Source organism: Homo sapiens, chromosome 15 (assembly GCF_000001405.40).
Source record: "Homo sapiens chromosome 15, GRCh38.p14 Primary Assembly".
Taxonomy (NCBI): Eukaryota; Metazoa; Chordata; class Mammalia; order Primates; family Hominidae; genus Homo; species Homo sapiens.
The window spans coordinates 43,434,136-43,457,995 of record NC_000015.10 but is presented as its reverse complement, the minus strand read 5'-3'; the positions used below and the strand labels follow the sequence as shown (position 1 = coordinate 43,457,995).

At 41.0% G+C, this 23,860-nt stretch overlaps 1 protein-coding gene across 11 annotated transcripts in view, besides 1 other annotated feature; it reads left to right on the top strand.

Moving 5' to 3' along the window:
* Positions 1 to 23,860, top strand: part of TP53BP1 (tumor protein p53 binding protein 1) — a 107,580-nt gene that overhangs the window by 52,645 nt on the left and 31,075 nt on the right. For 10 of the 11 annotated variants that reach the window (XR_007064488.1, NM_005657.4, NM_001411050.1 and 7 more), the window contains 5 exons: positions 778 to 2,104; positions 10,511 to 10,630; positions 11,406 to 11,609; positions 16,413 to 16,470; positions 19,580 to 19,672. Coding sequence is in view for 10 of the 11 variants with exons in the window: in NM_005657.4 (NP_005648.1) it covers positions 778 to 2,104; positions 10,511 to 10,630; positions 11,406 to 11,609; positions 16,413 to 16,470; positions 19,580 to 19,672 (1,802 nt within the window). In the remaining variant the exon portion in view is untranslated. Of the gene's footprint in view, positions 1 to 777; positions 2,105 to 10,510; positions 10,631 to 11,081; positions 11,231 to 11,405; positions 11,610 to 16,412; positions 16,471 to 19,579; positions 19,673 to 23,860 lie in introns of all 11 variants that reach the window. The other variant, NM_001355001.2, reaches the window with a different exon arrangement.
* Positions 15,379 to 15,982: an enhancer, noted in NCBI's record as "H3K27ac-H3K4me1 hESC enhancer chr15:43734212-43734815 (GRCh37/hg19 assembly coordinates)". NCBI's record gives its function as "activates a minimal SCP1, AML or CMV promoter by ChIP-STARR-seq in naive H9 embryonic stem cells {active_cell/tissue: H9 hESC(naive)}" and the evidence as "EXISTENCE:reporter gene assay evidence [ECO:0000049][PMID:30033119]".

The window sequence follows — 23,860 nt, the reverse complement described above, 5'->3', positions numbered from 1 at the left end:
CCAGACTGGAGTGCAATGACACGATCTTGGCTCACTGCAACCTCTGCCTCCGCGGTTCAAGCCATTCTTCTGCCTCAGTTTCTTGAGTAGCTGGGATTACAGCCATGCACCACCCCACCCGGCTAATTCTTGTATTTTTGGTAGAGACAGGGTTTCGCCATGTTGGCCAGGCTGGTCTTGAACTCCTGACCTCAGGTGATATACCTGCCTCAGCCTCCCAAAATGCTGGGATAATAGGCATGAGCTACCACACCTGGCCACTGGATTTTAATACCTGCTTTATGAATGCTAGCTTTTTTTTTTTTTTTTTTTTTTTTTTTTTTTGAGATGGAGTCTCACTCCGTCACCCAGGCTGGAGTGCAGTGGTGCAATCTCGGCTTACTGCAACCTCCGCCTCCAAGGTTCAAGTGATTCTCCTGCCTCAGCCTCCCAAGTAGCTGGGATTACAGGTGCCCACCACCACGCCTGGCTGATTTTTTTGTATTTTTAGTAGAGACAGGGTTTCACCGTGTTGAATGCTAGCACATTTTGAAATCGTGAAGTAAAATGAGTACGTATCCCCACTTTGTGAGAACTGAAATGGGCTGGAGCATGTGCCACTGCTCCTGGCTATACTAGAGTTCTTTAATTCTTAAATTTGATTTAGAAATTTTATATGAATTTAAAAATTTGATTTAGAAATTTGATTTTAGAAATTTTATATGAATCCAAGGATTCGATATAAAAGATATATGATCATGTACAAATTACAATTTGTCTCTTTCTGTTCTTCCTTAGGACATTTTTATTCCTTCCCCAAGTCTGGAAGAACAATCAAATGATGGGAAGAAAGATGGAGATATGCATAGTTCATCTTTGACAGTTGAGTGTTCTAAAACTTCAGAGATTGAACCAAAGAATTCCCCTGAGGATCTTGGGCTATCTTTGACAGGGGATTCTTGCAAGTTGATGCTTTCTACAAGTGAATATAGTCAGTCCCCAAAGATGGAGAGCTTGAGTTCTCACAGAATTGATGAAGATGGAGAAAACACACAGATTGAGGATACGGAACCCATGTCTCCAGTTCTCAATTCTAAATTTGTTCCTGCTGAAAATGATAGTATCCTGATGAATCCAGCACAGGATGGTGAAGTACAACTGAGTCAGAATGATGACAAAACAAAGGGAGATGATACAGACACCAGGGATGACATTAGTATTTTAGCCACTGGTTGCAAGGGCAGAGAAGAAACGGTAGCAGAAGATGTTTGTATTGATCTCACTTGTGATTCGGGGAGTCAGGCAGTTCCGTCACCAGCTACTCGATCTGAGGCACTTTCTAGTGTGTTAGATCAGGAGGAAGCTATGGAAATTAAAGAACACCATCCAGAGGAGGGGTCTTCAGGGTCTGAGGTGGAAGAAATCCCTGAGACACCTTGTGAAAGTCAAGGAGAGGAACTCAAAGAAGAAAATATGGAGAGTGTTCCGTTGCACCTTTCTCTGACTGAAACTCAGTCCCAAGGGTTGTGTCTTCAAAAGGAAATGCCAAAAAAAGAATGCTCAGAAGCTATGGAAGTTGAAACCAGTGTGATTAGTATTGATTCCCCTCAAAAGTTGGCAATACTTGACCAAGAATTGGAACATAAGGAACAGGAAGCTTGGGAAGAAGCTACTTCAGAGGACTCCAGTGTTGTCATTGTAGATGTGAAAGAGCCATCTCCCAGAGTTGATGTTTCTTGTGAACCTTTGGAGGGAGTGGAGAAGTGCTCAGATTCCCAGTCATGGGAGGATATTGCTCCAGAAATAGAACCATGTGCTGAGAATAGATTAGACACCAAGGAAGAAAAGAGTGTAGAATATGAAGGAGATCTGAAATCAGGGACTGCAGAAACAGAACCTGTAGAGCAAGATTCTTCACAGCCTTCCTTACCTTTAGTGAGAGCAGATGATCCTTTAAGACTTGACCAGGAGTTGCAGCAGCCCCAAACTCAGGAGAAAACAAGTAATTCATTAACAGAAGACTCAAAAATGGCTAATGCAAAGCAGCTAAGCTCAGATGCAGAGGCCCAGAAGCTGGGGAAGCCCTCTGCCCATGCCTCACAAAGCTTCTGTGAAAGTTCTAGTGGTGAGTGTGATTGTAGATTATTCTTGTCTCCACCTAAATTATAATCTGGAATGGAAAGTTGGCGAGAACTGCATGCTTATGTCAGGAGTGAACACTATCTTTGGTTTATGTTTATGAACAACCAATAATAATTGGGAAATTAAATTTTTTGGATTGCCTTTTTTTTTTTTTGAGACAGAGTCCCGCTCTGTTGCCCAGGCTGGAGTACAGTGGTGCAGTCTCAGCTCCCTGCAACCTCCACCTCCCGGGTTCAAGTGATTTCTCGTGCCTCAGCCTCCCAAGTAGCTGGGACTATAGGCTCATGCCACTATCTGGCTAATTTTTGTGTATTTTTAGTAGAGATGGGGTTTCACCATGTTAGCCAGGCTAGTCTCGAACTCCTGACTCAAGTGATCTACCTGCCTTGGCCTTCCAAAGTGCTGGGATTACAGGGATGAGTCACCACGCCCAACCTGGATTGTATTTTTTTAATAGCTATAATTATTTGTGCAATTAAAGATATTTGAGGTTTATCAGCTTTGTAACTCGGGACTAGTTGGTAAAAAATATTTAGAAATTGTACCAATCTGTTTTTTTTTTACTTAGATTGTATCCTTGCTCTCTGTGTATAGATTTTGACAGTTGCCTTGAAGTAGAAGGATCTTTTTTGATTAACTCTGTGTGGTAAAATCACATTCAGAACTGTTGATGAGTATCCTATTAATTAGTTATTTCCTTTTTATGGGCATTAGGTAAAGTTTCTAAACTTAGTTCAAAAAATACATATCTCTTAAACCTGAAACTGGAAAATGTATTAGTTCTTGTTCTTTATTTTATGAAATTCAGCATGAAAACGTAGATTACTTTCTAAAGTATTTGTACAGGCTGGGTGCAGTGGCTCACGCCTGTAATCCTAACACTTTGGGAGGCCAAGGTGGGCGGATTGCCTGAGCTCAGGAGTTTGAGACCAGCCTGGCTAACATGGTGAAACCCATCTCCACTAAAATACAAAAAATTAGCCAGGTGTGTCGTGTGTACCAGTAGTTCCAGCTACTCGGGAGGCTGAGGCATGAGAATCGCTTGAACCTGAGAGGCAGAGGTTGCAGTGAGCCAAGATCACGCCACTGCATTGCAGCCTGGGCAACAGAGTGAGACTCTGTTTCCCAAAAATAAAATAAAATAATTTGTAGAGTATGACATTAGCTGAAAATAATTCAATCTTTCTGAATCCTTAGAGTTAGTATAATGTAGGTCAGGCGTGGTGGCTCACGCCTGTAATCCCAGCACTTTGGGAGGCTGAGGCCAGCAGATCGCCTGAGGTCGGAAGTTTGAGACTAGCCTGACCAACATGGAGAAACCCTGTCTTTACCAAAAACACAAAATTAGCCAGGAGTGCTGGCAGGCGCCTATAATCCCAGCTACTCGGGAGGCTGAGACAGGAGAATCACTTGAACCCGGGAGATGGAGGTTGCGATGAGCTGAGATTGCGCCATTGCACTACAGCCTGGGCAACAAGAGTGAAACTCTGTCTCAAAAAAAAAAAGAGTTATTATAATGTAAAATCAAGCTCCAAAAACAAAATAACAAGACACAAACTTAAGAAAACAAGTTTTTAGGATGAAATGAAAAAACAGTATTTGGCAGGTTTACATATGATAGTATGAGTGACCATATTTTTTGGTTTGCGTAGAACAGTCCCTTTTTTTTGAGATGTGGAGTCTTGCTCTGTTGCTGGGCTGGAGTGCAGTGGCGCAATCTCAGCTCACTGCAACCTCTGCCTCCCGGGTTCAAGCAATTCTCCTGCCTCAGCCTCTCGAGTAGCTGGGACTACAGGTGCATGCCACCATGCCCAGCTAATTTTTGTATTTTTAGTAGAGACGGGGTTTCACCATGCTGGCCAGGATGGTTTCAATCTCCTGACCTCGTCATCTGCCTTCCTCGGCCTCCAAAGTGCTGGGATTACAGGCGTGAGCCGCTGCACCCAGCCTAGAACAGTCCCATTTTATACCCATTGTCTAAGTGTGATTATTAATAGTACTTTTTTTTTAGTTTTTAAATTGTCCCTATTGGCCGGGTGCGGTGGCTCACGCCTGTAATCCCAGCACTTTGAGAAGCCAAGGCGGGCGGGTCACCTGAGATCAGGAGTTCGAGACCAGCCTTGCCAACATGATGAAACCTCATCTCTACTAAAAATACAAAAATTAGCCTGGAATGATGACGGGTGCCTGTAGTCCCAGCTACTCTGGAGGCTGAGGCACGAGAAGCCGAGATTGTATCACTGCACTCCAGCTTAGGTGACAGAATGAGACTCCGCCTCAAAAAAAAAAAAAGTCCCTATTTATTAGCTTTTATATTTAGCACTTTTTTTTTATCTTAAGAATAAGAAATGTTAGAGCTAAAAAGGAAGTGAGGGGTTATTGGATTTAGTCTCTTCTTAACGTCTTTTGGCTAGTTAATGATAGAGGTGAGACTAGAACCTAGGTCTCCTGATCCCAGCTGTGCTTTTTCTTCCTGTAAAACTGCTTAATACAGATTATTTGATTCTGAAGAGCTGTAGTGAAGAACAATGTGAATAACCTAAAATTCTGTAGTAGAGTATTTTTCTAATTGTATTATGTTTAAATACTGCTAATGACCTGTGCCAACAAAATATCAGGTCTCTTTGATTGTTTTAATATAGTTATTTTGGAGTACTTTTTTTTTTTTTTTTTTTTTTTTTGAGACGGAGTCTCACTTTTTCGCCCAAGCTGGACTGCAGTGGCGCTATCCCGGCTCACTGCAAGCTCCGCCTCTTGGGTTCATGCCATTCTCCTGCGTCAGCCTCCCGAGTAGCTGGGATTACAGGCGCCCACCACCACGTCCGGCTAATTTTTTGTATTTTTAGTAGAGACGGGGTTTCACCGTGTTAGCCAGGATGGTCTCGATCTCCTGACCTCGTGATCCGCCCGCCTCGGCCTCCCAAAGTGCTGGGATTACAGGCGTGAGCCACCGCGCCCGGCCTGGAGTACTTTTAAATTAAATGCAAAAGAAGCTTCTAAAACAGTGAGATATTCTATTATTTTAATAGTATTCTTCATGAATTCTTGTTTACATTGTTAATTGGCAGAGTCAGCTTTTTTTGCCGTAGTAAAACTTATTATTTTATTAACATTAATATCCAGATTATTGAAAATGCTAGTGATTTCGTGTTTATTTCATGATTTTAGTTCTTGGGCAAACAACAAAAAGTAATGAAGACAGTGGTTGGAAAATAGTATTTATGAGGAGAAGTTAAATAAAAATAATTTTAACTACAAATTAGAACATGAAGGGAGAATAATAGCTTTTTGTCTTTTTTTTTGTTTGTTTTTGAGCCAGGGTCTCACTCTGTCGCCCAGGCTGGAGTGCAGTGGCACCATCAATGTTCACTGCAGCCTTGACCTCCCGGGCTCAGGTGATCCTCCCACTTCAGCCCCCCGCCCCGAGAAGCCGGGACTACAGGCGTGTACCAGCATGCTTGGCTGATTTTTTGTAGAGACAGGGTTTTGCCATGTTGCCCAGGCTGATCTCGAACTCTTGGATTCAGGCAATCCACCCACCTTGGCCTCCCAGAGTGCCAGGATTACAGGTATGAGCCACCGTGCTCAGCCGAGAACAATAGTTTTTAACTTAGAAAATTGTATAAAATAAATCATTCAGAAGAGCGTTGCAAAAAGAACAGAAAAATATTATTTTGTACTTAAAAATATAGTTGTTTAGTTGCTAAATGTTGAGAGACTAATTTTATTTTTATTTTTTTGGAACAGAGTCTTGCTCTGTCGCCCAGGCTGGAGTGCAGTGACATGATCTCGGCTCACTGCAACCTCCGCCTCCCAGGTTCAAGTGATTCTTGTGCCTCAGCCTCCTGAGTAGCTGGAATTATAGGCACATGTCACCATGCCTGGCTAATTTTTGTATTTTTAGTAGAGACAGGGTTTTGCCATGTTGGCCAGGCTGGTCTCGAAGTCCTGGCCTCAAGTAATCCACCTGCCTTGGCCTCTCAAAGTGCCGGGATTACAGGTATGAGCCACTGGGCCTGGCCAAATTTAAATGATAGTAATCTAAAAAGTAATGGTTCTTCACTTTTACACTGTTGGTGGGACTGTAAACTAGTTCAACCATTGTGGAAGTCACTGTGGCGATTCCTCAGGGATCTAGAACTAGAAATACCATTTGACCCAGCCATCCCATTACTGGGTATATACCCAAAGGACTATAAATCATGCTGCTATAAAAACACATGCAGACGTATGTTTATTGCGGCACTATTCACAATAGCAAAGACTTGGAACCATCCCAAATGTCCAACAATGATAGACTGGATTAAGAAAATGTGGCACATATACACCATGGAATACTATGCAGCCATAAAAAATGATGAGTTCGTGTCCTTTGTAGGGACATGGATGAAATTGGAAATCATCATTCTCAGTAAACTATCGCAAGGACAAAAAACCAAACACCGCATGTTCTCACTCATAGATGGGAATAGAACAATGAGAACACATGGACACAGGAAGGGGAACATCACACTCTGGGGACTGTTGTGGGGTGGGGGGACGGGGGAGGGATAACATTGAGAGATATACCTAATGCTAAATGACGAGTTGATGGGTGCAGCACACCAGCATGGCACATGTATACGTGTGTGACTAACCTGCACATTGTGCACATGTACCCTAAAACTTAAAGTATAATAATTAAAAAAAAAAAGAAAAAAAGTAATGGTTCTTCAGTCTGAAAAGACAGAATGAAAGGTGTGAATTGGGTGAGTTTTGCATTTGTTCATCTACTATTAGAAGAGCACTTTTTTGTTGTTAATAGATTTATTGATTTTAAAAAAAGATACATGCTTGGCCAGGCATGGTGGCGTGCACGCGTAATTCCAGTTACTTAGGAGGCTGAGGCTTGAGAATCACTTGAACTCGGGAGGCGGAGGTTGTAGTAAGCTGAGATTGCACCACTGCACTTTAGCCTGCGCAACAGGGCGAGACCCTGTCTCAAATAAATAAGTAAATAAATAATGCATGCTTAATTTTGAAAAACATTCAAACAATACAAAGTAGAGATTCTGAGTGGGGAGGGTGTGGGGAGAGAGGGAGTTGGAAGGAAAAGAGAGAGTGAGTACAGAGAGGGAGAGAGAGAATTACTTTAAATGTCTCCATTTATAGATAACTTGTCACTGTTAACAGTTTGGAGACCTCTTCAAGTATCTGTCTATGGAGAGCTCCTGTTAAACCTGTAAAAAAGCAAGATGGTACTTGGAAGCCCAATCTTGTTCAACACAGAACAAATATTTGGTGGGTTGATGATGTGAAAAACTGTAAGGAGTTCAGTAAGTCTTTAAATCCATAAGTAATAGTCTGTAATAGTTAATAATGATCAGGGGATCTAGATGTGTTTTAGGCTCTAGCTATAACCTTTATTTGCTTACTTGATAGAATGCCATCTTAATTGGCTATTAATATCAGAGGCAGACTTTTGGGGTAGACTTCATGCATGATATCGCCGGATATATAAATTCTTACATTTTTAACTAGATGGCTTTTAATAAATTCTTAGGGGTAACCAGTTCTTTTAAGAACAAAGAAGAAAAATGGGTTTAAAACTATAACAGAAAGTTAGGAGAGACCTTCTTAACATTTAGAGTTTTAAATATTGCTTTGGAGTTATTCTCTAAAGTCCTTAAAGGACACATACTCCCACTCAGGTGGTTTCAAAATTAGTATTGAGTTTCCTTTTGTTTCCTCATTCATATCCTTCATTATTGTTTGGTATGCTGACCTACAACATGATAGCCCATGATTATCTGGAAAAACAAGAAGGGATTTGATAATTTAAAGAATGTAGGATTGCTAAATGTTAGAGAAATAATGGAATATGTGGAAAATTCCGTAAGTTTAAAAGGATAAAATATACCAGCAAATGTATTTTTAAGGATTTGGCAATAGTTTGAGTAGATGTGTGGTGTTTTCCAGATGAGGGAACAAAAGCATAGAAATGGGAAACCTTTGGAGGACATTGAATAGAAGCTTTATGAACGTGAATAATTAAAGAAAAACTGGAGATATAGGCTGCTACTAGTTAGTTGAATGCTGACTATAGAGTTGGGAATTTGTCTTCTAGTGAAAACCTTGAAGTTTTTTGACCAGGAGCTAACAAAGCCATGTTTTCTAGGAAGGCTGCAGAAAGTGTGCAGAAAGAATGGGGGTTAGGGAGAGTGGGAGACTTTAGGCAGAGGAAGTGATTGATAGGCTATGGTAATAATCCAGGAATGAGGCATTGGAGACCTGAGGAGAGTAGTGGCAGTGCTGTCCCTAGGGCCTGTAAAAGTCTGAATTTTCCATTAGGTTATAGTAATGCAGTTAGATAAATGGTGCTAAAATTACTTTCCATAAGTTTTATGTAATACTGTGCAAAGGAAACCTTGTTACAGGGATATATTTTCAGCGATTAATGCTTGCATATTGCATTTGCGTAATATAGTATGTCACATAGAAAGGTCTGCTTAAAGATTTCATGCACATTTTCAGAAGTCTGGAATATATGAGGCTTTGCAAGGTGTTTTTTAAGTTTCTGTATCTCTTCTAAGTTCTTTATTAGAACAACTTGCTTTATAAGGGGCTACCACAGAATGAATGCTTATCTACCTGACCCATTTCTCTTTTCTGTAACTATGGTGGATGTCTGTCAGTTAGATGTAATGTTGAGATTCTTCATCCATACTGTTTACAGGTTTGTTTTTGTTTTGTTTTGTTTTGTTTTTTTGAGGCACGGTCTCGCTCTGTCATCCAGGCTGTAGTGCGGTGGCACCATCTTGGCTTACTGCAACCTCTGCCTCCCAGGTTCAAGCAGTTCTCCTGCCTCAGCCTCCTGAGTAGCTGGGATTACAGGCACCTGCCACTACACCCAGCTAATTTTTGTATTTTTAGTGGAGACAGGGTTTCATTATTTTGGCCAGGCTGGTCTCGAACTTCTGACCTCAAGTGATCCATCCGCCTTCGTCTCCCAAAGTGTTGGGATTACAGGCATGAGCCATGGTACCTGGCCCCTCTTTACAGTTTCTTTAGCTGAGCATATGTACTTTAATCCTTTATTTCTAAAGACCATTTCTTTTTCTCTCTTTATCTCCTCAGATTACTAATTCATTTTCTCTTGAAACCCCATCTCTACTAAAAATACAAAAAATTAGCTGGGCGTGATGGAGGGCGCCTGTAGTCCCAGCTACTTGGGAGGCTGAGGCAGGAGAATGGCATGAACCCGGGAGGCGGAGCTGGCAGTGAGCCGAGATCGAGCTACTGCACTCCAGCCTGGGCGACAGAGCCAGACTCCGTCTCAAAAAAAAAAAAAAATTTTTTTGTTTTGTTTTGTTTTAAAGGAAAAAATTATCACGGTGCTTGCTATTAAAGATAGGAGTGGAAAAAGATGAAAGAAGCAAACTACTTTCATAAGTAGTAGTGTCCAAGTATGCCAGATTATAGTTATTTTGAGCCATCCCAGGAAAGTAAGAAGAAATTTTCATATATTAGTTTTAAGAGGGCAGTCTGGCGCAATTCTTATTTTCTCCCAAATGTATCATTTTATAAAAAGAGATAAATTAGGAAATTAGAAAATGTGATTTTTTGACGGTTTTCTAGTTCTGATTAGCAAAAATTTGGAACTGAGACCTAGGTAGAAAGTAGCTTTATGTCTTGACAAATATTTTCTATTTATAATAATTTAATAACTAAAATGTGTACACTGGTGATGCTTATATATGAGGGATTTACTGTTGTGCAGAGATTTAGGTATGAACATTACACTTAGGCCTAGAGTGAATGCTGGTCCGTACTGCTGAACCATGAAACCCTTGGATTTCTATGCTAGAACCAGTCAGTATCTTGAAGTCCTTTAACCCGTGAGATCCTCTGTCATCTCTTTGATTAGATTGTACATTATAAGTATTAACTTCAAACTTTGCTTTGGAGAATCCTACAGACTATTAAGGCTTATAAACAAACTCCTTAGGTTAGCATTGCACAAAATTATGTTGTTCTGATTTGAAACTGTCCAAATTTGTATTGCTAAATATCCCCTGATGTACTGTCTTGGAGATCAAATGTTTGTGTTCCATTTGACTCCAGGTTCCTCAGGTCTTGCAGACTTCGGGCTTTCTCAATTTGCCTGTCCTCTGGTTGTCTACTTTGTGTCAGTACTATAGTTGTTGGCTGTGAAGAGAGCAGAGACGATAGAAGGGAGTTAGTCAGGAGGCCTGGTGAGGGTGGTGGCAATGAGACAGAATTTGGGAGCAAAGGAAAAGAGTGATTGAAATATTTCTTGCAGTTCTTATTATTTTTGCTTATTTTATACTTCTGTTTTTTTTAAATCATTTTTTCTTTCTTTCTTTTTTCTTTTTTTTTTTTTTTTCAGAAACCCCATTTCATTTCACTTTGCCTAAAGAAGGTGATATCATCCCACCATTGACTGGTGCAACCCCACCTCTTATTGGGCACCTAAAATTGGAGCCCAAGAGACACAGTACTCCTATTGGTGAGTGAATAAAAAGTAATGATATTTAAGGCAGAATTTCTGAGATATCATTCTCTACACAAGTGATATTTTAGATCTGAGGAGTTGGGTCTGGCTGGTAAGGTTGATTTTTGTTTTAGGGAAAATAGGGTTATGAAGTCTGGTTCTGTGATTTTACTACTAGGAGATGAGGGGTAAAGAGAGGAAGGAAAGAAAGGGTGGAGGGAAGTAAGAAAGAAAGAGAATACTTAAAAGAATTTTATCTTATTACTTGCAAGGCAGTAGAATCTGAGTGCTAAGTAGTGATGTAGAGATGTTTTATAAGGATGGAACAGGAAGTAAGGTAGAAGTACTATTTATTCAGTACCTTGGCTAATTAGTCAGTCTGCTGCTTGACAGGGCAAGAAAACTTAGATCCTCCTTCCCTGAAGCAGCCAGTAGTCTTCTACATTAACCTATTTGTTTTCTCTAGTCAGTGCTGGGAGGTAACAATCATGCCGTCTGGAGTCTCCTGCTACCTATGCCTGATGCTGGCAGATGTGGGTTGGCTGAGGGCTCATGCAGCATCCTTTGTCCAGATGCAGAAGTGGAACTGAATCCTGTTGCTCCTCTTAAGACCAGGTGTCAATACTAGTTCGTAGTTGTTGATACTTATGACAGGGATCTATCCTAGGAACCTCCTTCAATCCTGCAGAGCTGTGGAGCCAAACAGGCAAATTGATGACCTTGAATTGCTGTTTTTTGTGTTTGTATTTTAGTGTTCTTTTTTTCTTCCTCCCTGCCTCACTTCTTTCAGGTATTAGCAACTATCCAGAAAGCACCATAGCAACCAGTGATGTCATGTCTGAAAGCATGGTGGAGACCCATGATCCCATACTTGGGAGTGGAAAAGGGGATTCTGGGGCTGCCCCAGACGTGGATGATAAATTATGTCTAAGAATGAAACTGGTTAGTCCTGAGACTGAGGCGAGTGAAGAGTCTTTGCAGTTCAACCTGGAAAGTAAGTTTTATGTTAATCTTGGGTAATTAGTAGCTGCAGATTATCTGGGGAGTATTGATTATAATCTAGTTATAATAATTGATACTTCTATATTTATAAATGTATTTGTAAAGTCTTACACTCATAGATTTAATTCTTTGCTTTTGGCCAGCCTGTCATGTTACTAAAGATACTCTGTTTTATAATCTCCATATTATAGCTTGTTTCTGTTAAGTCTGTTCCTATGTAATTGGTTTCCCTATTCAGAAAGACTTCAGAATAGGGTAGAAAACTTTAGGACTGTGGATTCACATTGCAGATTAATGTTGATTCTTTCCCACATGAATTAGAAGTTGTTTGGTAGGGCTAGAATAAAGAGAAGATACAAGGGAGGGATGCAAAGTAGGGACCAGATGCTGAAAGGCTTTTTACATCATGCTGAGAAGCCGAAGAATTTTAGGCAAGGGAGTAATATGATCAGATTTGCCTTTAAAAAAAAGCATCAGCTGAGTCTTTCAAAACCTTGTGCTTTTGTGCATGATGATTCCTTTCCTTGCATTTCCCATATTCTGTTCTCCTGCCTGGTAAATTCTACCCAGTCTTTAACCAGAAAGTGAGGTCATTGGTAGTGGGGCTGGAGATGAGGGATGAATTTGAGGAGCGAGTAGGCAGAACGATGGTGCCAGGTGAATATGGAAGTAAGGGGGAGGAAAAAAAGAGAGAATGACTCTTCACATATACTGTATGATCTCATTTCCATAATAGTACTCCCAAGTAGGTATCTGCATTTTCATTTTATTGATGAGAAAACAGAGTAAGAGAGGTTTTTAAGTTACATGTCTAAGGTCACAATAATTGGTGCTAGGTGGAGTTGGAATTTGAGTCAGACCTAACTCTGAAGCTTATAATTTTTTCATTTCAGGTAATTTGTAAAAGCTGTTTAAGGGGGATTAGAAGAGGAAGAAATCTCATAAAGGAGATTATAAAGGAACGTTCAGAGAGAAGGAGAACTAGGAGGGTATATGAAGCCATGGAAGCCTATGGGGAGGGGAGTTACAAGAAGATCATGTCAGGCACAGGAGCAAGTTTAGTAAGATGTGTCTGGAAATATACTTTGACTTCGGCGAGGCAATTAGGATCCATTTGGTGACTCTAGCAAGAGCCATTTCAGTGCAGCAGTTGGGGTGGGAGCTATACTGAAAGTAATTGAGGAAGGATGAGGAAGAGGAGATGAGGCTGCAAATGTACTCTCTACTTTTGAGAAGTTTATGTGAGAGAAGAAGAGAAAATATGGTGAGTTAGAGGGAAATGCAGGGTTGAGAGAGGATTTGTTATTTTAGGCTGGGAGAGGCCTGAGCAAGTTTACAGATTTTAACCCATTTATGCCTAGTGTTCCACTATTGGAACACTAAGCTTGCGGGAGTTATTTATATCCTGCTGCTCAAGGTCATCACCAAGGTCTGATTTTTCACAAAAAAAAATTTGCAACCTCCAGCATAAATGGGTTAAGGAAGGATCCAAAAGAGGGAGGCATAGATTAAAGACGAGGGAATTGGGGGAAACAGTTGATGAATTAAGGCCCTGAAGAAGTTGGGAGGGGAAGCTATTGAAGACTACACAGAATAGGTTGGATAAGCAGGACTTCTTCTTCCCTGAGACCAGAGAAAAGTAATTTTAGCTAATACATTTTTAGCTCTTACTGTATACCAGGTACTTCACATGTATAGCTCATTAAATCTCATAAGAAGCCGATGAACTAGATCCTATTATTATCCTCCTTTTACAGATGAGGAAACTGAGGCACAGGAAGGTTGAGCGCCTTCCCTAAACATAGCTAGTAAATGGAGTAGCCGGGATACAAATCCAGGAAGTCTGGTTCCAAATCTTTGATGCTGTGGTACTTACTGATTTGAATCTTAGCAACTCAGTAGACTGAGTTAAAGTATTACATGGTTCCATCCTTACTATCATCTTTTCCGGAATAAATAAGGGCTTATTGCCAGGCATGGTGGTTGGTGCGCTTCTATAATCCCAGCAATGCCAGAGGCTGAGGTGGGAGGTGTGCTTAAACCCAGAAGTACAAGACCAGCCTGGGCAACATAGTGACATCTCATCTCAAAAATAAAAATTTTAAAAAGGGTTTGTCAAGAGAGAGAGTATGTGATAGCCTTAAATCTTACTTTACCTTTGGATCTGAAATTACAACTAGCGAAGTGTTAAGGATGGTTATATCAGTAAATTTTACTACCTTTCCTAATACCAGGAGCATAGTATCAAGGACTGTATTCAGTGTTACTTACATCATTTCATCCTTACAACAAACTTTTTAGGTTTGTTGTGTTTTTATCTTATAGAGGAGGACACTGAGACTCAAAATGACAAAGTAGTTTACTCCTAGGTTGGACTATTAAGTGCAATAGCCAGGGTGTGAGCCAGGTTTCTATTTCAGAGCCAGGGCTCCAACTGAATTTCAGCTGCCTCCCTGATGGACTGTTTAGATTATGTTGGGTCATGAATATTTTAGAAATAATTAAAAACCATTTAAGGGTTGTTTTCTCTAAGGCTGGTATAAATTGTAAATGAACAAATTTTAATCCCTTGAAATTAGTGACATTGTTGTGAGAATATGGGATTTTTTTCAGTACGACCTTTAATCTGTTGCTGCATGTTCTTGAAAATGTCCTTTTTGTTTCTTTTTGTTGTTATTGTTGTTGAGACAGGGCTTCTCCCTGTCACCCAGGCTGGAGTGCAATGGGGTGATCTCAGCTCACTGCAGCCTCCATCTCCCAGGCTCAAGCGATCCTCCCATCTTAGCCCCCTGAGTAGGTGGGACTACAGGCACGCCCACCACCCATGCCTGGTTAATTTTTGTATTTATTATAGAGATGGGGCTTCGCCATGTTAGCCAGGCTGGTGTTGAACTCCTGGGCTCAAGCGATCCTCCTGCCTTGGCCTCTCAAAGTATTGGGATTACATGAGTGAGCCACCGTGCCTGGCCACCCTTTGTTTTTGAAGTGTCTGTCCTAAAGCACTTTGGGAAGAACTTGGGTACCTTCTATTTGTGGGTGCTCTAAAAACTATTTAAAATTAGTTCATCAACCTAAAATATTTTCTACTTATTTTATTAAGTTCTTTTATTTTTAATTTGTTTTTAATATGATATAAATTTTAAAAAGTTTTTGGTTTTTAATTTTGTATTATTACATACTTTTTTAACTTCTTATATGGGCAGAGATGAATTTGGATTCAGAAGTTTAATTTTCATTTAAGAATGTTACTGCTGGCCGGGTGTGGTGGCTCATGCCTGTAATCCCAGCACTTTGGGAGGCTGAGGTGGGTGGATCACCTGAGGTCAGGAGTTCGAGACCAGCCTGGCCAAGATGGTGAAACCCCATCTCTACTAAAAATATAAAAATTAGCCGGACATGGTGGCAGGTACCTGTAATCCCAGCTACTCGGGAGGCTAAGGCAGCAGAATCTCTTGAACCCGAGAGGCGGAGGTTGCAGTGAGCTGAGATCATGCCACTGCACTCCAGCCTGAGCAACAGAGTGAGATTCTGTCTCCAAAAAAAAAAAAAAAAAAAAAAAAAAAGAATATTACTGCTAAGGGCTAGGTGTCGTAGCTCGTATGTGTAATCCCAGCACACTTTGGGAACCTGAGGCGGGTGAATCACCTGAGGTCGGAAGTTTGAGACCAGCCTGGTCAACATGGTGAAACCCCATCTCTACTAAAAATACAAAAATTAGCTGGGTGTGGTGGTGCACACCTGTAATCCCAGCTACTCAGGAGGGTGAGGCATGAGAATCGCTTGAACCCAGGAGACACAGGTTGCAGCAAGTCGAGATTACGCCGCTGCACTCTAGCCTGGGCAACGGAGTAAGACTCTGTCTCCAAAAAAAAAAAAAGTTACTCATTGTATTGTATTTCTTGCCAATCTTATTAGTCTTTTATAGGAAGTTTGAAAGAAAATTGATTGGTGGAAGTGAGAAAAACTTGTACCATTAAATTACAAGAAATAGCCAGCCGGGCACAGTGGCTCTTGCCTGTAATCCCAGCACTTTGGGAGACCGAGGCGGGCGGATCACGAGGTCAGGAGATTGAGACCATCCTGGCTAACACGGTGAAACCCCGTCTCGACTAAAAATACAAAAAAATTAGCCGGGCGTGGTGGCGGGCACCTGTAGTTTCAGCTGCTGGGGAGGCTGAGGCAGGAGAATGGCGTGAACCCGGGAGGCAGAGCTTGCAGTGAGCCGAGATTGCGCCACTGCACTCCAGCCTGGGCGACAGAGTGAGACTCTGTCTCAAAAAAAAAAAAAAAAAAAAATTAAAACAAATCTGGCCTGCACTGCAGCCTGGGTGACAGAGCGAGACTGTTGTCTCAAAACAAACAAACAAAAAACAAGAAATCTGGCAGATCACTTGATTTCAGGAGTTTGAGACCAGCTTGGGAAACTTGGCAAAACCCTGTCTTTCCTAAAAAATACAAAAAATTAGCTGGACGTGGTGGCGCATGCCTGTAGTCCCAGCTACTCGGGAGGTTGAGGCAGGAGATCGCTTGAACCCAGGAGGCGGAGGTTGCAGTGAGCTGAGATCACGCTACTGCCCTCCAGCTTGGGTGATAGAGTGAGACTGTCTCAAAATAAAGAAATAAATAAATAAAATTACAAGAAATGTTTGTATGTTTATACTTACTAGTTTTACTTATTTTTATTTCTTTTTGTTATTTTTTGCAAATACTAGTAGAGCAGAGTGAAGGTTTAGGTGTGATACTAACTAAATTCTGTTTCTCTTTCCTTTCTCTCCTTGGTTTTGTTTTTATTCAGAGCCTGCAACTGGTGAAAGAAAAAATGGATCTACTGCTGTTGCTGAGTCTGTTGCCAGGTAACCAAAGCTGGATGCTATTTAGAGTTTAATACACAGCTACTGGTGATGAGGGTAGATGGTTTATCAACAAAGGAAAAAAGTTAAAATGAGAAAGTTAAAATGAGACTCTTTCATAAAGGATTTAGCAATGTTTTGAATGGATCATAGACTTTTTAGTTAATACTTTTTTAAGTTCAGTGAAGCTTTTTTCTACACCTAGAACTAAGATAATTGAAATGTCTTTACTTTTGTTCATGTGAGAGTTCCTTTCCCCCCTTTTTTCTGTTGCTGATACAAGAGTCTCCACAATCTCAGGATTGTTGATCCAATTGATGAGAAAAAGAAGGATTAACAAGAGATAGCTACAGACCTTGTTCCTTCTGCAATCGCATACTCAGCTGCAGCCTCAGGTCATTTTCTCTTCTGCCTGCCAAATTAACTACTATGTTGAGCTGTTATTTTTGCTTTGTCATGGATGTTGTAATGCTTTGAGGACGAGTATGACCCCATACTGAGGTTTTGGTTGGTAAGCTTTGCCATCTGGTGGCTGTGAGAATACAATTGTTTCAGGCATGAGTCATCCAGCCTGAAAACGCTAATAGCAGTTGGTGAAACATAGGCAAGAATTCTTCTTTTATTTTCTTTTTTATTTTTTGAGACAGAATCTTGCTCTGTTGCCCAGGCTGGAGTGCGGTGGTGAGATCATGGCTCACTGTGACCTCAACATCCTGACCTCCAGCTATCCTCCTGCCTCAGCCACCTGAGTAGCTGGGGCTACAGGCATGTACCACCTCATCTGGCTAATTTTTGTATTTTTTGTAGAGATGAGGATTTTACTATGTTGCCCAGGCTGGCCTTGAACTCCTGGGCTCAAGTGATCCACCTGCCTTGACTTCCCAAAGTGCTAGGATTACAGATGTGAGCTACCATGCCCCACCAAGAATTCTTAAATTAGAGGCTAGGCGGGTACTGTTAATAACTAAAGTGGCTAGGTACAAGACAGAGTGTTTTTTTTTTGTTTTTTTTTTTGAGACGGAGTCTCACTCTGTCATCCAGGCTGGAGTGCAGTGGCACGATCTCCGCTCACTGCAAGCTCCGCCTCCCGGGTCCACACCATTCTCCTGCCTCAGCCTCCCAAGTAGCTGGGACTACAGGTGCCAGCCACCACGCCTGGCTAATTTTTTTTTTGTATTTTTAGTGGAGACGGGGTTTCACCGTGTTAGCCAGGATGGTCTCGATCTCCTGACCTCGTGATCCGCCCGCAAGACAGAGTGTTGAGGACAATGGCAAACTGAATGTATGGTCCATGTGAAAGGGTGTGCCCCACTCAACTCCAGCCAGTAGTTGTCATGTGAAACTGCAAACTTCTTGTTGCCACATCTTTGTTTTTAGAAAGAAATCTGGATTTTTAAAAATAAAATATCAAATAAAAGAGGCCTGTGGACTAAATGTGACCTCACTTGTGAGTTTCTGACCTTTTTCAAAGTCTTTTGATCTGTTCTTAGCTATGTCTTAGAGAGATTAGTTCCTCATTGGGCTATTAGTATATTTAATCTGAAACATAAGTACCGTAGAGTCCTTTTTCATTTGAAGATCCCTTAATGATATATAGTCTTAGAAGCTGAAGAAAGTGGAGTGTGTATCTGGTCCATTTGGCTTTAACAGAATTTTTGGCCAGGAATAAGTTGTTATTAGTCTGTACTTGTGCATATTCAGAGGGAACAGAGTATGTTGCTGAAGCTTCTAGAACTCTTAGGGTAGAAAGTAGAGAGGAGAAAATAAGGAAAAACTTTGAGCAGAGGGTTGGAATGGTGGATCCTAGAATGAGATGAAATTTTTGATATTGTTGTGAATAAATTTTTCTATATAAGAATCTAAATTTAAAAAAATTCGACTTGTTTGCTATTGTGTTCACTCTAACAAATCATCTAAAGTAAGCTCTGTCACAATATTGGAAGTGGTCCTTGGTTCATCTGCATTTAGGTGGAGATTTTTTGTTTGTTTGTTTGAGACAGGGTCTCACTTTGTCAACCAGGCTGCAGTGCAGTGGTGCAATCACAGTTCACTGCAGCCTTGACCTCCCAGGCTCAAGCGATCCTCCTGCCTCAACCCCACAGGGTGCTGGGACTACAGGCACCTGCCACCAGGGGCTAATTTTTGTGTTTTTAGTAGAGATGGGGTTTCGTCATGTTGCCCAGGCTAGTCTCTAACTCCTGAAGCTCAAGTGATCCACCTGGCTTGGCCTCCCAAAGTGGTAGGATTACAGGTATAAGCCACCGTGCCCAGCGTACATGAAACTTTTAAGTGTTGTTTGTAACTGTACTCTGTTCAAATTACTTGCTGTCACCTTATTTCTCAATCATTTTACTACAGAAGGTTTCAAGCATATACGAAAGTAGAGAGAGTAGTATAATGGACTGCCATGTATTCATCACCCAGTTCCAAAAATTTCTTATGGCCAGTCTTGATTCATTTATATTTCCAGCACCCCCCTCCCTACTGAATTATTTTGAAGATAATTTCAGCATTATATAATTTTATCTGAAATACTTCAGTGCTGTCTCCAAAAGATAAGGATTCTTATTTTAAACTTAACCGTATTACTATTATCATACTTTAAAAAATTGACAATGGTTCCTTAATATCATGAAATATTCAATGTTCAGATTTCTCTGATTGTCTCATAAATGGTGTTTTACAGTTTGACTCAAGATCTAAATAAGGTCTGCATATTGCATTTGATTATATCTCTTTAAGTCTTTTAAAATACAGAGTACCCCTCCAGTCTTTTTTTTTTTTTTTTTTTTTTTTTTTTGCCTCTTGCTTGCAAATTATTTGTTGAAGGTACAGATTGTTGTATGGTTTTCTACATTCTGGATTTTGCTGATCGCATCTTTATGGTATTTAATACAGTCCTCTGTCCACCTTATTTCCAGTGAATCTTCCTTGAGAATTTTAAATTATGCTAATTCAAAACAAGTATGGAGAATTTGCATTTTGGTGTAAGGTGGTTTGGAGTTTGATATGCAGAGAAAGCATTTTATTTCCTCTGTGCATAAAAGGATAATCTCCAAAAGTACTTTTCTTTTCAAAGTTAACAATATATTGCTTTAATATATTGTCTTAGTCCCCAGAAGACCATGTCTGTGTTGAGCTGTATCTGTGAAGCCAGGCAAGAGAATGAGGCTCGAAGTGAGGATCCCCCCACCACACCCATCAGGTAAGCATTATTTTTATAGAATCTTTTGGGCTCCATTGGTTCACAAAATGGTTAGTGCCCAAATCCTAATATGTACTGTGCTGTGGTTTGAATGTGGCATGTGTTGGAAACTTAACCCCCAGTGCAACAGTGTTGAGAGGTAATTAGTGGTATTGGTATAAAGCTACAGAAGTTGACCACACATACACAAAAAAGAGGTAATTAGGTCGTGGGGGCACTGCCCATATGTATGCATTAAGGCTGTTGCCGTGAGCATGGGTTAATTATAAAAGGCTGAAGGGGCAGTTTGGCCCCCTTTCCACCTTCTTGAATGCACCCTCACCATGTGATGTCTTTCCACCGTGTTACGATGCAGCTAGAAGGCCCTTACCAGCTGGCCGTCTAGATGCTAGTGCCATGTCCTTGGACATTTCAGCATTCAGAACCATGAGCCAAATCCTGTAAATCTTTTTCTTTATCAATTTCCCAGTCTGGTGGGAATTCTGTTATAGCAGCAGAAAACAGACTAAGATGTACTGCTACTGTTTTGTGAGCTTGAGCTTACCTTATTTTTTTATACCTTGAGGGACTATAGTGTATTCTGGATAGATTGATGAGCTGTCATGAGAAATTTTGTTAAATATTTTATAGATACACATTTTTGTCTTTATCTGCCAGTTGTATCAATTTGAAATGACTGACTTCATAAATGTATTTATTAATTTATTTTGAGATAGGGTCTCACTCTGTCACCCAGGCTGGAGTGAAGTGGCGTGAACATGGCTCACTGAAGCCTTTACCTCTTGGGCTTCAGCCTCCCAAGTAGCTAGGACCACAAGCATGCGCCACCATACCGGCTAATTTTTCTATTCTTTGTAGAGATGGCTTCTCACTGTGTTGTCCAGTCTGGTTTCAAACTCTTGGGATCAAGCAGTCCTCCCACCTTGGCGTCCAGAAGTGTTAGGAATACAAGTGTGAGCCACCGTGCCCTACGGTGAAAATAATTTATATAATTCCTCATTTCTTAGATTAGTTTTTCTTATTTTGGGAATCATGTTTACTTTTAACAGACTTTTTATTTCTCCTTAGTTTCCCACAGAGCAAAATATGAGATGTTTAACATCCCAAATTTAAAGTTTTTCAGACTTAATGGAATTAATTTTTCCATAATTTCTTTTTCTTTTTAGAGACAGGGTCTCACTCTGTCACCCAGGCTGAGGTGCAGTGGTGCAGTAATAGCTCACGGCAGCCCCAAATTCCTAGGCTCAAGCAATCCTCCTGCCTGAACCCCCTGAGTGGCTAGGACTACAGGCATGTGCTGCCGTGTCTGGCTAATTTTTTTTTTTTTCAACTTTTTTTTCAACTGTGTTGCCCAGGCTGGTCTCAGACGCCTGGGCTCAAGTGATCCTCCTGCCTCATCTTCCCAACGTGCTAGAATTACAGATATGAGCAACTGTGCTTAGCCCCATAATTTCTTTACTCCATAATCTCTTAGAACAGTCGTGAGGCAGGAAAAAAGTTTTGAGTTACAGGCCTTTATCTCTATTTAAATAATTAAGGAAGCGGCTGGCCACGGTGGCTCACGCCTGTAATCCCAGCACTTGGAGGCCAAAGCATGAGGATTACTTGAGGCCAGGAGTTTGAGATGAGCCTGGGTGACATAGTGAGACCCTATTTCTACCAAGAAAAAAAAGAAAAAAAAAAAAGCCGGATGTGGTGGCATGCGCTTGTGGTCCCAGCTACTTGGAAGACTGAAGTGGGATGATTGGTTGAACCTGGGTGGTCGAGGCTGCAGGGAGCTGTGGTCTCGCCACTGCACTTTAGCCTGGGGAACAGAGTGAGACCATGTCTTAAAAAATAATAATAAATAAATAAATAAATAGTATCTTATATGGAATATATGATACTTATATTTAGTGTAGAGAAATAAGTAATGGCAGTGGAAAAGGACCTGTATTTTCATTATGAAGTGAGTATCTTTCACCTCTAAAATTCAGTGATTTCGTAATTAGACAATGTGATAATGTTTTGTCAGTAGGTATATCAGTAACAGTGATATAAGTAGCATGATTTAGCCAGGCGCGGTGGCACTTTGGTAGACCGAGGTGGGTGGATGGCCTGAGCTCTGGAGTTGGAGACCAGCCTGGGCATCATGGTGAAACTTCGTCTCTACAAAAAGTACAAAATTAGCCAGGTGTGGTGGTGCATCCCTGTAGTCCCAGCTACTTGGGATGCTGAGGTGGGAGAATGGCTCGAGCCCAGGAGGTGGAGGTTATAGTGAGCCGAGATTGTGCCACTGTACTCCAGCCTGGGCGACAAAGCCAGACTCTGTCTAAAGAAAAAAAAAAAGACTGGATGGGGTGGCTCACACCTGTAATCCCAGCACTTTGAGAGGCTGAGGAGGGGTGACCACTTGAGGCCAGGAGTTAGTGACCAGCCTGGCCAACATGGTAAAACGCTGTCTCTACTAAAAATACAAAAATTAGCCAGGCAGGGTCGTCCACGCTTGTAGTCTCAGCTACTCTGGAGGCTAAGGCATGAGAATCACTTGAACCCTGGAGGAGGAGGTTGCAGTGAGCCAAGATGGTGCCACTGCACTACAGCCTGGCGAGAGAGTGAGAGTTATGTCTTATCCATTAAAAAAAAAAAAATTAATAGGTAGCATAATTTCTAAATTTCTATGCTCATTATTGAAAGAAATATTTAAAATAAATATGTCAGTGCATTAAATGGGCATTCTGAATAAGTGTGAGCTTGTTGATATTCTTGGGAATCAGATGATCCTGAAATCATGTGATTTTAACAGTGGTGTAGTAATGACCCAGCTATTACTAAATTTATTGATGTCATTGTATTGCCTTGCTTTTTTATTAAAGCGTTTTAAAATAGAGGTGCCAAGATGTTGGTTATATTGTTTAACCTTGGTGGAGCAAAGATCTGGGAATCTAGCTGGATTTGATTCTAGATGCCTCATAAACAGAGCTACACTCAGAATAGAATAGTTAGACATTTGTTAAATATGGAGATGTATTCTTCCCTATTTCAATTTGGATTTTTTTTTTTTTTTTTTTTTTTTTGAGATGGGGTCTTGGTCTGTGTGTCACCCAGGCTGGAAGTGCAGTAGGGCGATCTTGGCTCACTGCAACCTCCACCTCCCAGGTTCGAGGGATTCTCCTGCCTCAGCCTCCCAAGTAGCTGGGACTACAGGTGTATGCCACCACACATGGCTATTTTTTTTGTATTTTTAGTAGAGACGGGGTTTTGCCGTGTTGGCCAGGCAGGTCTCGAACTCCTCACCTCAGGTGATCCACCCGTCTTGGCTTCCCAAAGTGCTGGGATTACTGGTGTGAGCCACTGTGCCCAGCCTAAAATTTACTTTCTTAGCATCAGTTTCTAAGTCTGGCATATAGTGACCAGAGTAGAATTGCATAGCTGGAACTAATGGAGAGGGAGAGAGGTATGGCACTTCTTACAATTTATTGGATTGCTGTAGAAGTAAAATTCAATTCAGGTATTCTAACCTGAATAAACAGCTTCTGAGGTGTCTTAGTCTCTTTGGGCTGCTGCAACAAACTGCCATAGGCTAGATAGCTTATAAACAAAAGAATTTATTTCTCTCATTTCTGGAGGCTGAGAAGTTCTAGATCAAAGCACTGGCAGATTTGGTGTCTGGTGAGGGCCTGCTTCCTGGTTTGTAGACAGCTGTTCTCACATGGCAGTTGGGGGCAAGAGAGCTCTCTGAGGTCTCTTTTATAAGGGCACTAACCCTATTCATGAGGGCTCTGCCTCTTAATACCATCACCTTGGTGGTTAGGATTTAATGTAAGTCTTGGGGTGGAGGGGACATAGACATTTAGTCTGTAGCATGAGATAAAATTTATAAGCTTGTTTAGGATAGGAAACAACAATAATTGAATTCCTAAAATCGAGTCCTGGCTCTTCTGGCTTTTGAATCCTTTCCTTCTTGCTCAGCCATTGGTATGTTAGATGTCTTAAAGATTTAAATATGAATATTTAGTTGATATTGAAGGTGAACTGAGTCTGTTTAATTGCATTGTCTTATGCATCTAATATTGATTGAGCATCTGCTATGCTCAATATTTTACATATATGAACATTTATAAACCTCATAAGAGGTAAGTGCTACTCATGGTAGGTGTCTCCTGGTGGTCTTGTTCTTACTTCTTCTTCATTGGACCATATATTCTC